The following is a 12542-nucleotide window of genomic DNA, read 5'->3' on the forward strand; positions in this document are numbered from 1 at the left end:
CTCCTCCTCCTTCTTCTTTTTCTTATTCTTATTCTTCCTCCTCCTCCTCCTCCCCTTCTCCTCCTCCTCCTCCTTCTTCTTCCTCTTCCTCTTCCTATTTATTAAACTCTGGAGTACCCCCCATAAGGCTTAGTCTTTGGACGTTATCTGCATTCATCCCTAGATGATCTCATGAACTCTATATCTTTAAATTCCACATATACACTGATGACTGTAAACTGTATTTCTAGCTATGGCATGTCCCCTGAACTCCAGATCCAAATCCTATTTTTAAATCTCCACTTGGATGTTAAATAGTGATCTCAGTTGAATATGTCCAAGAAAGAGCTCTTGGAAATTCTCGTCCAGATAGTCACAGAGTAGCATGTATGGGATGAATCCTCCTGTAGATAATGATTACAAAGTCAGGATAAGATACATAAAACAACATTATGTGAGTATACAGGAGAGCAACCAAAAACAGGATACACTGGAGGGGATTCAACCCTTGAAAGGGAGACCCATACTTTGTGTAATACATATTTATACAGCTTGTCTCCTGAGGATACTCCCTAGTCTGCATGGAGTGACTAGAATTAAAGCAGAAATAGACCTTTTACTAATGGTGTCAGAGGTCAGAGTAAGGGGCTACCAGAATGACTGTAAATTGGGGAAGAAAATTAAAAGAAAGAAGGAAAAAGAAGAAAGGAAGGAAAGACAGAGAAGCAAGAGAAAGAAAGGAAAGGAAAGGGGAGGGGAGCAGAGGAGAGGAAAGGAAAGGAGAGGAAGAAAAGAAAGGAGCTTCCCCCAAATGCTGGATATAGATTTTTCATCCTTGGCTGACACTAACATGTGCTTATATGAGGTAGACTCCAAAGAGCTCAACAGAAGCAGGTGGAAGGCTGAAAGAATTGAACATAAATATCAGCTGCTGGTCACCACAGGGGAAACAGTTTGGGGGTTTAGCCACATCCTTTTAGAAGAACATGGTAAATACTTTGGTAAACACCTTTCCATTGACATTCAGGAAGGGCCATGCTTTAGAAGTAAATATGACATCCTTGGACTGAGACTCACACCAAGAGCAAAACTGAAACAAATCTGTCCTTTAAAAAGTTACCAAGCCCATAAGTTTAAGGTGACTCTTTTGGTAAAAAGTTACCAAACCTTTAAGTTTAAGGTGATGAACCAGTTATTTAACTATCTACAGAATAAAAATGAACAGTCTTCAATTCAAAGGACGTAACAGAATCTAACATCTCTTCAACGTATCATCCACAATATCCAGTATATACAAAATCTTCTAGACATACAAAAAAAATGGGGGAGGGGAAAATCTGACCTGAGGTTAACACTATCATTAACCACCATAATCTAATTGGCATTTATATAACACCACACCAAATAACTGCAAAATACACAATCTTTTGAAGTATATGTAGAATGTTGACAAAAATAGGTCACATATTGGGCCATAAAATGCCTTGGTAAATTTTAAAAGGTTAAATTCCACCAGTATGTGCTCTCTGATCAAAATGGAACTAAATTAGAAAAATAATAAAGAAAACAACATACTTCTAAATAAGCAGGTCAAAAAAGAAATTATATATTTCCGAGTGATAATGAAAATGTAACATATCAAATTTTGTGAGATGCAGTTAAATCTGTTTTTAAAGGAAACTTTATAACTTTAAATATTAGAAGAGAAGAAAGGTTTATAATCAGTAGTTTAGCTTTCCACCTTAAGCTGGAAAATGAAGAACAAATTACATATAAAATAAGCAGAAGGAAGAAAATAATAAAGAGTTGAAATCAGTGAAATATAATGTAGTCCATAGAGAAAATTAACAAAGCCAAATATTGACTCTTTAAAATGATTAATGAAAAGTTGTTATTTCCTACCAGGTGAAACCAAGACAAAACATACAAAGAAAAACCTGCAAACATGTTATTTCTCATTATAGCAGATAGGAGGTCCCATAATAGCAGCTGTTCAACTGCTCAAGCCTTAGCATTATCTTTGGCTCTTCTCTTTCACACTATATATGTAATCTACCAGCAAATCATGTTGACTGTAATTCAAAATGTATCTAGATTGTGACCACTTCTCACCACCTCAACTGCTAATACCTTTATCCATGCCATCATCACAAATGGCATGGACTAGGGATGACTAGCAGAGTAGACTCAACTGGTATCCCTGTTTCCACCTGTCTCCCACCCCAAACTATTCTCCACATGACAGCCAGAAGTATCCTAGAATATTACTGGATGATGTTATTTGCCTGCTTAGAACTCTTCAATGAATATTCAACACAATCAGAATAAAATCCGACCAAAATCTTTTTTTTAAAATTTTATTATTATTATACTTTAAGTTTTAGGGTACATGTGCACTATACCCAAAGGATTATAAATCATGCTGCTATAAAGACACATGCACACGTATGTTTATTGCGGCACTATTCACAATAGCAAAGACTTGGAACCAACCCAAATGTCCAACAATGATAGACTGGATTAAGAAAACGTGGCACAAATACAACCAAAATCTTTACCAATAGAATTGGCTCCTACTACCTCTCTGATCATATTCCTGACACTTAACCTCATTCAGCTATTCTTCAAAGATTGAATCAAGGCCTTTGGATTTAGTAAACTGTTGTTTTTCAATGTTTTCATCAGGAATGCCAAAGTAGTGATTTTTAATTCTAGCATTCTTTATTTAGTAGCTCTTTCTATAATAAGAAACTTCCATTTATCAACTATTTTGTTATCCTGAAGTTCAATTCTGTAAGGAAGGGAGGCAATTTTTAAAAGTTTGCTTCTTTCCTTTTATTTTTCTTCTATTTACCATTTTTTAAAATAATGATGTGGTATAATAAAATATATATATTTGGTTTTTGTCCCCAGTTCCTGGCATAGAGCTCCTAAACTCCTTGAAATTTCCTGAGTGATAGGGGTGTCTTTTGTTAGTCATAACAAGCCCCTTCTGACCACACCAGAGTTTATGCTAATAAGATGACACACGCTGGGATCCCTAAATAGCTTTCAGCATTGGGGTCTGGTCACCAGAAAGACACACAAATGATTAGAGAATGGGAACTTTCAGCCCTACTTTCCCCTACCCCCTCTGCCAGGGAGGGGAGAGAGGGGCTAGAAATTGGGTTATAAAAACTCTTGAACAAGATTTGAAGAGCTTCTGTTGGTGAACATGTTGATTTCCTGGGAAGGTGGTATGGTGGGATAGAGCATAAAAGCTCCACACTCCCCATCCCCAATTCTTTGCCTTATGTCTCTCTTTCATTAGGCTGTTCCTGAGTTGTATCCTTTACAATAAACTGGTAAAAGTAAGTAAAGTGTTTTCCTGAGTTCTCTAAACCATTCTAGTAAAATATTGAATCTGAGAGGATGGGTCATGGGAACCCCTGAGCTTGCAGTTTGTCCAAGCAGAAGTGTGCGTCTGGGCATCTCATTTTTGTCTGGCATCTGAAGTGTGGGAAGTCTTATAGGACTCAGTGTTAAAAACTGTGGAGATGATGCTAACTCTGGTAAGCTGTTGTCAGAACTGAATTGAATTGTTGCATATCCAACTGGTGTCAGAGGATCTGAGGATCTTACAGATATAATTACCCAGCATCATCAAAAGATGATCAATGACTTTGTTGAAGTTGTATATCAGCTTAAGGAGCTTTGGGTCCAAGACTATGGGGTTTTCTAGGTATAGAATCATATTGTCTGCAAACAAGGATAGTTTGACTCCCTCTCTTCCTATTTGGGTGCCCTTTATTTCTTTCTCTTGCCTATTTTGCTCCGGCCAGGACTTCCAGTACTGTGTTGAATAGAAGTGGTGAGAGAGGGCATACTTGTCTTATGCTGGTTTTCAAGGGTAATGCTTCCAGCTTTTGCCCATCCAGTATAATGTTAGCTGTGCATCTGTCATATATGGTTCTTATTATTTTGAAGTATGTTTCTTCAATGCCAGGTTTATTGAGAGTTTTTAACATGAAGGGGTGTTGAATTTTATCAAAAGCCTTTTCTGCATCTATTGAGATAATCATGTGGTTTTTGTCTTTAATTCTGTTTATGTGATGAATCACATATTGATTTGCATATGTTGAAACAACCTTGCATGGCAGAGATAAAGTCTGCTTGATCATAGTGGATAAGTTTTCCAATGTGCTGCTGGATTCAGTTTGCCAGTATTTTGTTGAGAATTTTTGCATCAATGTTCATCAAGGATGTTGGCATACAGTTTTCTTTTCTTGTACCTCTGCCAGGTTTTAGTATCGGGATGATGCTGGCCTCATTTAATGAGTTAGAAAGGAGTCCTTCCTCCTCAAATTTTTGGAATAGTTTCAGTAGGAATTGTACCAGCTCTTTTTTGTACATCTAGTAGAATTTTACTACGAATCTATCTGGTCCTGAGCTTTTTTTTTTAACCAAAAAAAGGCTATTTATTACTGATTCCATTTTGGTGCTCATTTTTGGTCTGTTAAGGAATGCAATTTCTTCTGGGTTCATTCTTGGGAAAGTGTGTGTGTCCAGGAACTTATCATTTCTTCTAAATTTTCCAGTTTTGGTGCATAGAAGTGTTTATAATATTCTCTGATGGTTACTTGTATTTCTGTGAGGTCAGTGGTAATATCCCCTTTGTTGTTTCTAATTGTGTTTATATGAATCTTTTCTCTTCCTTTTTATTAGTCTAGCTAGCAGTCTATTTATTTTACTAATTTTTTCAAAAAACCAGTTCCAGGATTTGTTGATCTTTGAATGATTTTGCATGTCTCAATCTCCTTCAGTTCAGCTCTGATTTTGGTTATTTCTTGTCTTCTGCTAACTTTGAGGTTAGTTTTCTCTTGGTTATCCAGTTCTTTTAGTTGTGATATTAGGTTGTTAAATTGAGATATTTCTTTTTGATATGGGTGTTTAGTGCAATACATTTCCCCTTAATACTGCCTTAGCTGTGTGGTAGAGATTCTGATATTCGTATCTTTGTTCTCATTAGTTTCAAAGAACTTCTTCACTCCTGCCTTAATTTCATTGTTTACCCAAAAGCTGTGCAGGAGAAGGTTATTTAATTTCAATGTAATTGTATGGTTTTGAGCAATTTTCTTAGCCTGGATTTCTAATTTTACTTTGCTGTAGTCCAAGAGAGTGGTTGGTATGAATTCAATTCTTTTGCATTTGCTGAGGATTGTTTTACATCCGATTGTGTGGTCAATGTTAGAGTATGTGCCATGTGGTGATGAGAAGAATGTATATTCTGTTGTTTTGGGTGGTGAGTTCTGTAGATGTCTATCAGGCCCATTTGATCCAGTGCTGAGTTCAGGTCCTGAATATCTTTGTTAATTTTCTGCCTCAATGATGTGTCTAATACTGTCAGTGGGGTATGAAAGTATCCCACTATTATTGCATGGGAATCTAAATCTTTTTGAAGGTCTCTAAGAACTTGCTTTATGAATCTGGTTGCTCCTGTGTTGGGATGCATATATATTTAGAAAAGTTAGGTCTTCTTGTTGAATTGAACCTTTTACCATTATATAATGCCCTTCTTTGTCTTTTTTGATATTTGCTGGCTTAAAGTCTGTTTTGTCCAAAATTGGGATTGCAACCCATGCTTTTTTTCTGTTTTCCATTTGCTTGATAGATTTTTCTTTATCTCTTTATTTTGAGCCTATGTGTGTTACTGCATGTAAGATGAATCTCTTAAAGACAGCCTAACATTGAGTTTTGGTTCTTTAGCCTGCCACTCCGTTCCTTTTCATTGAGACATTTAGCCTGTTTACATTCAAGATTAGTATTAATATATGTGGATTTGATACTGTCTTCATGATGTTAGCTGGTTTTTATGCAGACTTGTTTGTGTGGTTGTTTTAAAGTGTCACTGGTCTGTGTACATAAGTGTGTTTTTGTAGTGGCTGGTAATGGCCCTTCCTTTCCATATTTAGTGTTTCCTTCAGGAGCTCTTGTAAGGCAGGTCTGATGGTGATTAACTAACTCCCTCAGCATTTGCTTGTCTGAAAAGGATCTTATTTCTCCTTTGCTTACAAAGCTTAGTTTGGCTGGATACAAAATTCTTGGTTGGAATTTCTTTTCTTTAAGAACGTTGAATATTGGCCCCCAGTCTCTTCTGGCAATGTATGGTTTCTGCTGAAAGGTCTGCTGTTAGTCTGATAGGCTTCCCTTTCTGGGTGACCTGACCTTTCTCTCTAGTTGCCTTTAACATTTTTCCTTTCCTTTCAACCTTGGAGAATCTGACGATTATGTGTCTTGGGGATGATCTTCTTGGGAGGTATCTTGCCGGGGTTCTCTGTATTTCCTAAATTTGAATTTTGGCCTCTCTAGCTAGGTTAGGGAAGTTCTCATGGATGATATCCTGAAATATGTTTTTCAAGTTGTTTCCATTCTCCCCATCTCTTTCAGCAATACCAATGAGTCATAGATTTGGTCTCTTTACATGATCCCCTATTTCTCAGGGGTTTTGTTCATTCCTTTTCATTCTTTTTTCTCATCCTTGTCTGACTGTCTTATTTCAGAAAGCCAGTCTTCAAGCTCTGAGATCTTTCTTCGGCTTGGTCTGTTTTAACACATGTGATTGTATTATGAAATTCTTATGTGTTTTTTTCAGCTCTATGAGATCAGTTACATTCTTTTCTATACTGGCTATTTTGCCTGTCAGCTCCTGTATCATTTCATTGTGATTCTTAGCTTCCTTGGATTGGGTTTGCGCTTACTGCTGCATCTCAATGATCTTTGTTCCTGTTCATATTCTGAATTCTATTTCTGTCATTTCAGCCATCTCAGCCCAGTTCAGAACCTTGCTGCAGGGCTAATGCAGTCATTTGGAGGAAAGAAGGCACTCTGACTTTTTAAGTTCTCAGAGTTCTTGTACTGGTTCTTTCTCATCTTTGTGGGCTGATGTTACTTCAGTCTTTGAAATTGATGTCCTTTGAATGGTTTGTTTTTCTTTTATCCTATTTGATGAACTTGAGGGTTTTATTGTGATATAAGGCTGGCTCAGTCAACTGGCCTCATTTCTGGCAGATTTTAAGTGGCCAAGGCTCAACTCACAACTCCTGGACTACATGCTCTAACACTGAGGGACTGATATTGGGCCTTGACTTTGTTCTCTGGCCCTTCAAGGTTAGGATCCCACTGCAATGGGAGGAGCTAAGTTCCTGGACCATTGATCACAGCATTCCAATGGGTAGTGCTAGCCAAAGTGTTTCATAGGGTGGTAGCAGTGGGATCTGTCCTTGTTTGCACATGCCAGCAGCAGCGGCCGAGTGGCAGGATGCTAGCGGGTGCTGAGAGACCAGCCTCCATGCAGGTATTTACAGCAGTGGCAGAGGTAGCATGACTCAGGAAGGTGGGGGTCACACTGGTGGTGGTGTTAGCACAGGGACGAGGCACTGGCAGGTGCAGGACTGTGTGTGCCCTCCGTACATGTTCACACAGGTGGAGGTGGCTGCACAGGGTGGGAGAGGGTCCACTGTTCTTTGTGCCTAGTTTCACTCCAGTGGCAGTGTTGACACAGGGGTGGGGTGCTGGCAGGAGCAGGGCTGGAAGGCTGTGTACCTACCAGGGCTCCAGCTGCAATAGCGGTATGGCAGAGGGAGGGGAGGTGGAGTGCACACACACCAGCTACAGTGCTATGGCAGGGTTCACATGCAAAACCGGTGGAACAAGGAAGGCAAGATCTGCCTGCACACACATGCGTTAGCAAAGCAATACGGGGAGTGGCCATGGAACCTGGGGATGCTGCAGTGAGGGAAGGAACAGGTCAGCTGTTGCGTGTCCAGAGGGCCGCTCTGCTGGTCAGGCACAGTCCAACAGTGCAGGAGTTATGATGCGGGCCCCCAGGGCCCCAGTCTGGCTGCATCTGTTTGCAGTCCAGCATTGGGTGCCCTGGGAAAGGCCAGCAGATCAAGGAAAGCTCAGATCAGACCAGCCCCAGGTGATAGGGAAGACCACCCTGCAGAGTTTACATCTGGGCTAAAGTTCCCCTAGGGGAACAGTCTCCTATGGGAGCAAGTGCAGCCTAGGGGGATTGGCATTCCTGGCCATGCTCCACCACATATGCTCCTGTAACACACCCTTTGGGCTCCACACTGGCTGAGTGCTGCTCCTACCACTTATCTAAGCCGCTCTCCCTGTCAATGAAGTGGCTGTGGTGGTTGAGGGGTCTCCTCCTGCTGGGATTCCAGAGGCCTGTGGTGAAAGCAGGTTGCTCCTTGCCAGTTCAACTCACCTGTTCTCCAGGAGTCGCTGGGGTCCATGAATGAGTCCCGATGTGAAGTAGCCCCTGTGCAGAGTTCCCAGCTTCCTCCCTCTTCAGCCCAGCTTCTGTGTCTTCCCTCTGTCCACTCTCAGTGCCCTTTCTCTACAGATCTGTTAGGAGTGTGCCAGTCATCCCGATCTTCAGTGGCAGCTGTTCCACCTGGCTGTGTCTAGTCAGTCATCTTGCCCAGCTCCCATATCATTTTTTACATTTTCATAATGTTGGACTTACTATTTTTTATGGCAATCTGACCCACTACAAAATTCTTCTTGTGGGTAAGCATCTATACTTAAGATATTTATTTAATTCATATAGAAGGAAAAATTGTACTTCTAGTTAAGATAAATACACGATGGAGACATAGGAGAAGACAGTCATAACCAGGGATAGAACATAGCACTAAGATACTACTCTTTGGTGTTCAATACTTTATATATATACTAATATATTAAATATTATTAATGAAACATTGTTACTGTGGGTTATTAAGGCTAGATGTTTTCATTTAACTGGATTAAATTTGAAGGAACTATTGGCCCTGACTAAATTAATATAAGACATGAATGTTTGTAGGAAGGTTTTAGGCTTCCTCCAAGAGGCCTTTTTTTGGAAAAGAACTATCTTGACCACAGATTGCCTGGACTGGAATTGTAAGCACATGGTAGGCTGATGATACAGACTCTACGTGCATTCATCACTCATGTTCAAAGATCTACAGCATAATTTTACGTGTTTAATTAATAGCAATGAACATTCCCATCGCGCTGCAAATAAATAGAATACAGTTCATTTAATAGATAAATATGATAAATAATAGACCCAGGTGGCATTTGATAACAAGAAAAAAGCCATTCTCTCTGGAAAACAGGAAATGGAATTTAGTTTCTTATTTTTTTTAAGAAGAACATTGTTTCTACCATCAGTCTCCTGATTTCAGCCAATGATTTCAGCTAATGATCCCCATAGTCTTTCTCTATTTTAAATCATGTTAGTTTTACATGCTGAGAAAAATTGCTGCATATCCACTAAATTTGTGTGTGGCACTTTATATTTCTATTGTTTAACAATTTAACAACACAGTCCTCAGGGATTAGGAATCAGTTTCACTCTTCATAGAATTTCTATATTACTATCATTATCCACGGGATAACCTGGAACCTTGGAATATAACCACTTTGTTACTATTACTAAATAAATTCATAAAGTCTTTAAGTTAGGTAACCCCACCACTATCCTGCCTTCTTAAGGTGGTATTTTATAAAAGAATTCCTCATTGTGTTGGGAGAGACAACCTAGTGTAAGAAAAATACTAAGACATTTCCAATTTTGTCTCCCCCTCTACCACTTACAAACAGTGTTACCTTGGTTAAGCGCTTACTGCTCTCAAGTGTTTTCTTCTGTGCAAACCAGAAGGTAATAAAGCCTGCTCTCATAGTACTTATGATTGGGATAAAACTAAAGAGATATCATACATAAAATAAGTGGCAGATATTAGATAAAAGAGGATTATACAGTATAAAGCTTGAATGTTCTATTAATTCCGATTATTCTAGAAATGCATGTTAAGTACCTAAGAAAATCGGTTTCACAAAATCAAACACTACAAGCTTTATATGATACATTTGTGACACAATGGTAATTTATTTATTTATTTATTTATTTATTTATTTATTTATTTATTTATAGACGGAGTCTGCTCCGTCGCCCAGGCTGGAGTGCAGTGGCCCGATCTTGGCTCACTGTAAGCTCCGCCTCCCGGGTTCACGCCATTCTCCTGCCTCAGCCTCCTGAGTAGCTGGGACTACAGGCGCCTCCCACCACGCCCGGCTAATTTTTTTGTATTTTTAGTAGAGACGGGGTTTCACCGTGTTAGCCAGGATGGTCTCGATCTCCTGACCTCGTGATCTACCCGCCTCGGCCTCCCAAAGTGGTAATTTTTAATACTTGTCACAAATCTACTATCTTCCACAAATATATGCAGTTAAATCATGGTCAGTTTTAGCTAGTTTGGACACAGTTATCAAATTCTTAAATTAAATATGAATTAAAGACTATTGTTCAGGTTTATATGACTAAATCCCCAAGAGGCCTAAGTTTTTGCAAAATAAATGTAAGTTTTTAAATCCCTCATATGTGAGTTCATAAAATATCTTATTGGTGAATAGTTATAGTCAAAATTAAGTCCATCCTACTAAATATAATGTTAAAGAAGACTCTTGAGATTACATTTTCTTCTCTCCTAGGTCATTTTACCACAGACATATATTAATACTAAACAGTATTTAAAAACACTGTTTTTAATATTTTTAAAATTTATTTTTGATACATATTTTCTGGGTACATGTGATAAATAATTTGATACGTTCTTATAATCAAATCAGGGTAATTGGGCTGGATCTCTATTACAATGTGTTTAATCTTGGAACAGAGATAATTTTAGTTTGATACAAAGTTCTTCATTTTCTCAAATATTGGCTTCTCAATATTTATACACATTTTAAGAAGTCAATGAAATACAATACTTTCCACCATCTCTAGCTTTAACTCTCCTCACCCTATTTTCCCCATTTTTTCTTTGTATTTGCTTCTATTCTGAAACAGCAACAGAGCTTATTAAGAAAGGACTCTCGGGCTGGTCGCGGTGGCTCACGCCTGTACTCCCAGCACTTTGGGAGGTCAAGGCAGGTGGATCACCTGAGGTCAGGAAGTCGAGACCAGCCTGATGAAAATGGAGAAACCCCATCTCTACTAAAAAAAAAAAAAAAAAAAAAAAAAAAAAATTTTAAATTAGCCAGGCATGGTGGCACATGCCTGTAACCCCAGCTACTCAGGAGGCTGCAGCAGGATAATCGCTTGAACCCAGGAGGTGGAGGTTGCAGTGAGCCGAGATCGCACCATTGTACTCCAGCCTGGGCAACAGGAGCAAAATTCCGTCTCAAAAAAAAAAAAGGATTCTCTAAAGGGAGAGTAAATTGGTACTTGCCACTGCAGATTGAGAGTTAAATTACAAGAGCCTAACTGTTCGCTACTGGCTGAAGTATTAGGCTGGTGCAAAAGTAATTGTGGTTTCTGCCTTTTTAATGGGCAAAAAACAGAACTACTTTTGCACCAACCTAGAAGGGGGAGAAGAATAAAAGCCATGTGGAAATTCTGTCTCCCTGGGTCTTGTGGAGAGGAGGCAATTAGCAGGAATATAAACTCACTATAAATTCAGCCCTGTGGAGAAATATAATCTGAGCCCTTACAGCTACTTTAACCTTACTAAACTAATTATAAAGTCCCCAAATGAAGCTCGAAGGGCTATGAAACCACAAACTCAAAAAGAAATTCCTAATTTCTTTAGAAGCCATCTATCTTCTTCCCTATTACTTATCCAGACTTGATTTTAAAGAGTCGTTTTTCCTCTCTGAGGCACTTCCATTGAACTCAAAAAAATTTTCAACACAGGTGAGAAATTTTGGAAATTTAGATTTGAATTATCCTTGTTATATGCTATTATTACCTATTAATAATAATGATACCACTTATGGCATCGTAGCACCATGTTAAGAGCTTTACTCACATTAATGTATTTAGCCATCACTACAGCACTATGAGCAGGTAGCATGATTCTCCCCATTTTACAGAAAAGGAAAGAAGCTTAATGAGCCTAAGCAAGCAATTTGCTTTTAGCCATTCAAATTGAAAGAGTTAAGACTTGAACCCACATCTGTCAGACTCCAAAAATTCTATTCTTAACCCCAATCTATATGATTTCATGTTTACTTCTGAATGCGATCACTGATAAGCAGAGGGGTGAGACCCTCAAAGATTCATGAAGTTACTGGCAACCAAGATCCTAATCCTTATCTAATCTTCCCCCAACCTCTGTCATCACTCATATGCACACTTTTTTCTTTTCTTCTCTTCTTAATGCAATAGACTGAATGTTTTTCCCTTCAAAATTTATATGTTGAAACCTAATCCTCAGTGTAATGATAAGTGGGGCTCGTATAAATGGGATTAGTGCCCTTATAAAAGAGACCCCAGAGACATAGCTAGTTCCTTCCATTGTGTGATGACACATTGAGAAGGCTCTGCCTATGAACCAGAAAGCAAGCCTTCAGTAGATACTAAATCTTCTGGTGCTCTAATCTTGGACTTCCCAGGCTCCAGAACTGTGTGAACTGTGAGAAATAAATTTCTGTTGCTTATAAACTACTCAGTTTATGGTATTTTGTTACAGCAGCCTGAAAAAACTAAGAAAATATATATTGGGAATGGGAATATTTTATTTTAT

The 12542-nt window shown here is 38.7% G+C and overlaps 1 protein-coding gene across 20 annotated transcripts in view, besides 1 other annotated feature; it reads right to left on the bottom strand.

Annotated features, from left to right (window-relative positions):
• The window catches only part of COL24A1 (collagen type XXIV alpha 1 chain), a 427752-nt gene that overhangs the window by 368375 nt on the left and 46835 nt on the right, over positions 1–12542 (bottom strand). The gene's annotated exons all lie outside the window — the stretch shown is intronic.
• Positions 7091–7592: an enhancer, noted in NCBI's record as "H3K4me1 hESC enhancer chr1:86570381-86570882 (GRCh37/hg19 assembly coordinates)". NCBI's record gives its function as "activates a minimal SCP1, AML or CMV promoter by ChIP-STARR-seq in primed H9 embryonic stem cells {active_cell/tissue: H9 hESC(primed)}" and the evidence as "EXISTENCE:reporter gene assay evidence [ECO:0000049][PMID:30033119]".

The sequence above is a fragment of the Homo sapiens genome, chromosome 1 (genome assembly GCF_000001405.40).
Source record: "Homo sapiens chromosome 1, GRCh38.p14 Primary Assembly".
Lineage (NCBI taxonomy): Eukaryota > Metazoa > Chordata > Mammalia > Primates > Hominidae > Homo > Homo sapiens.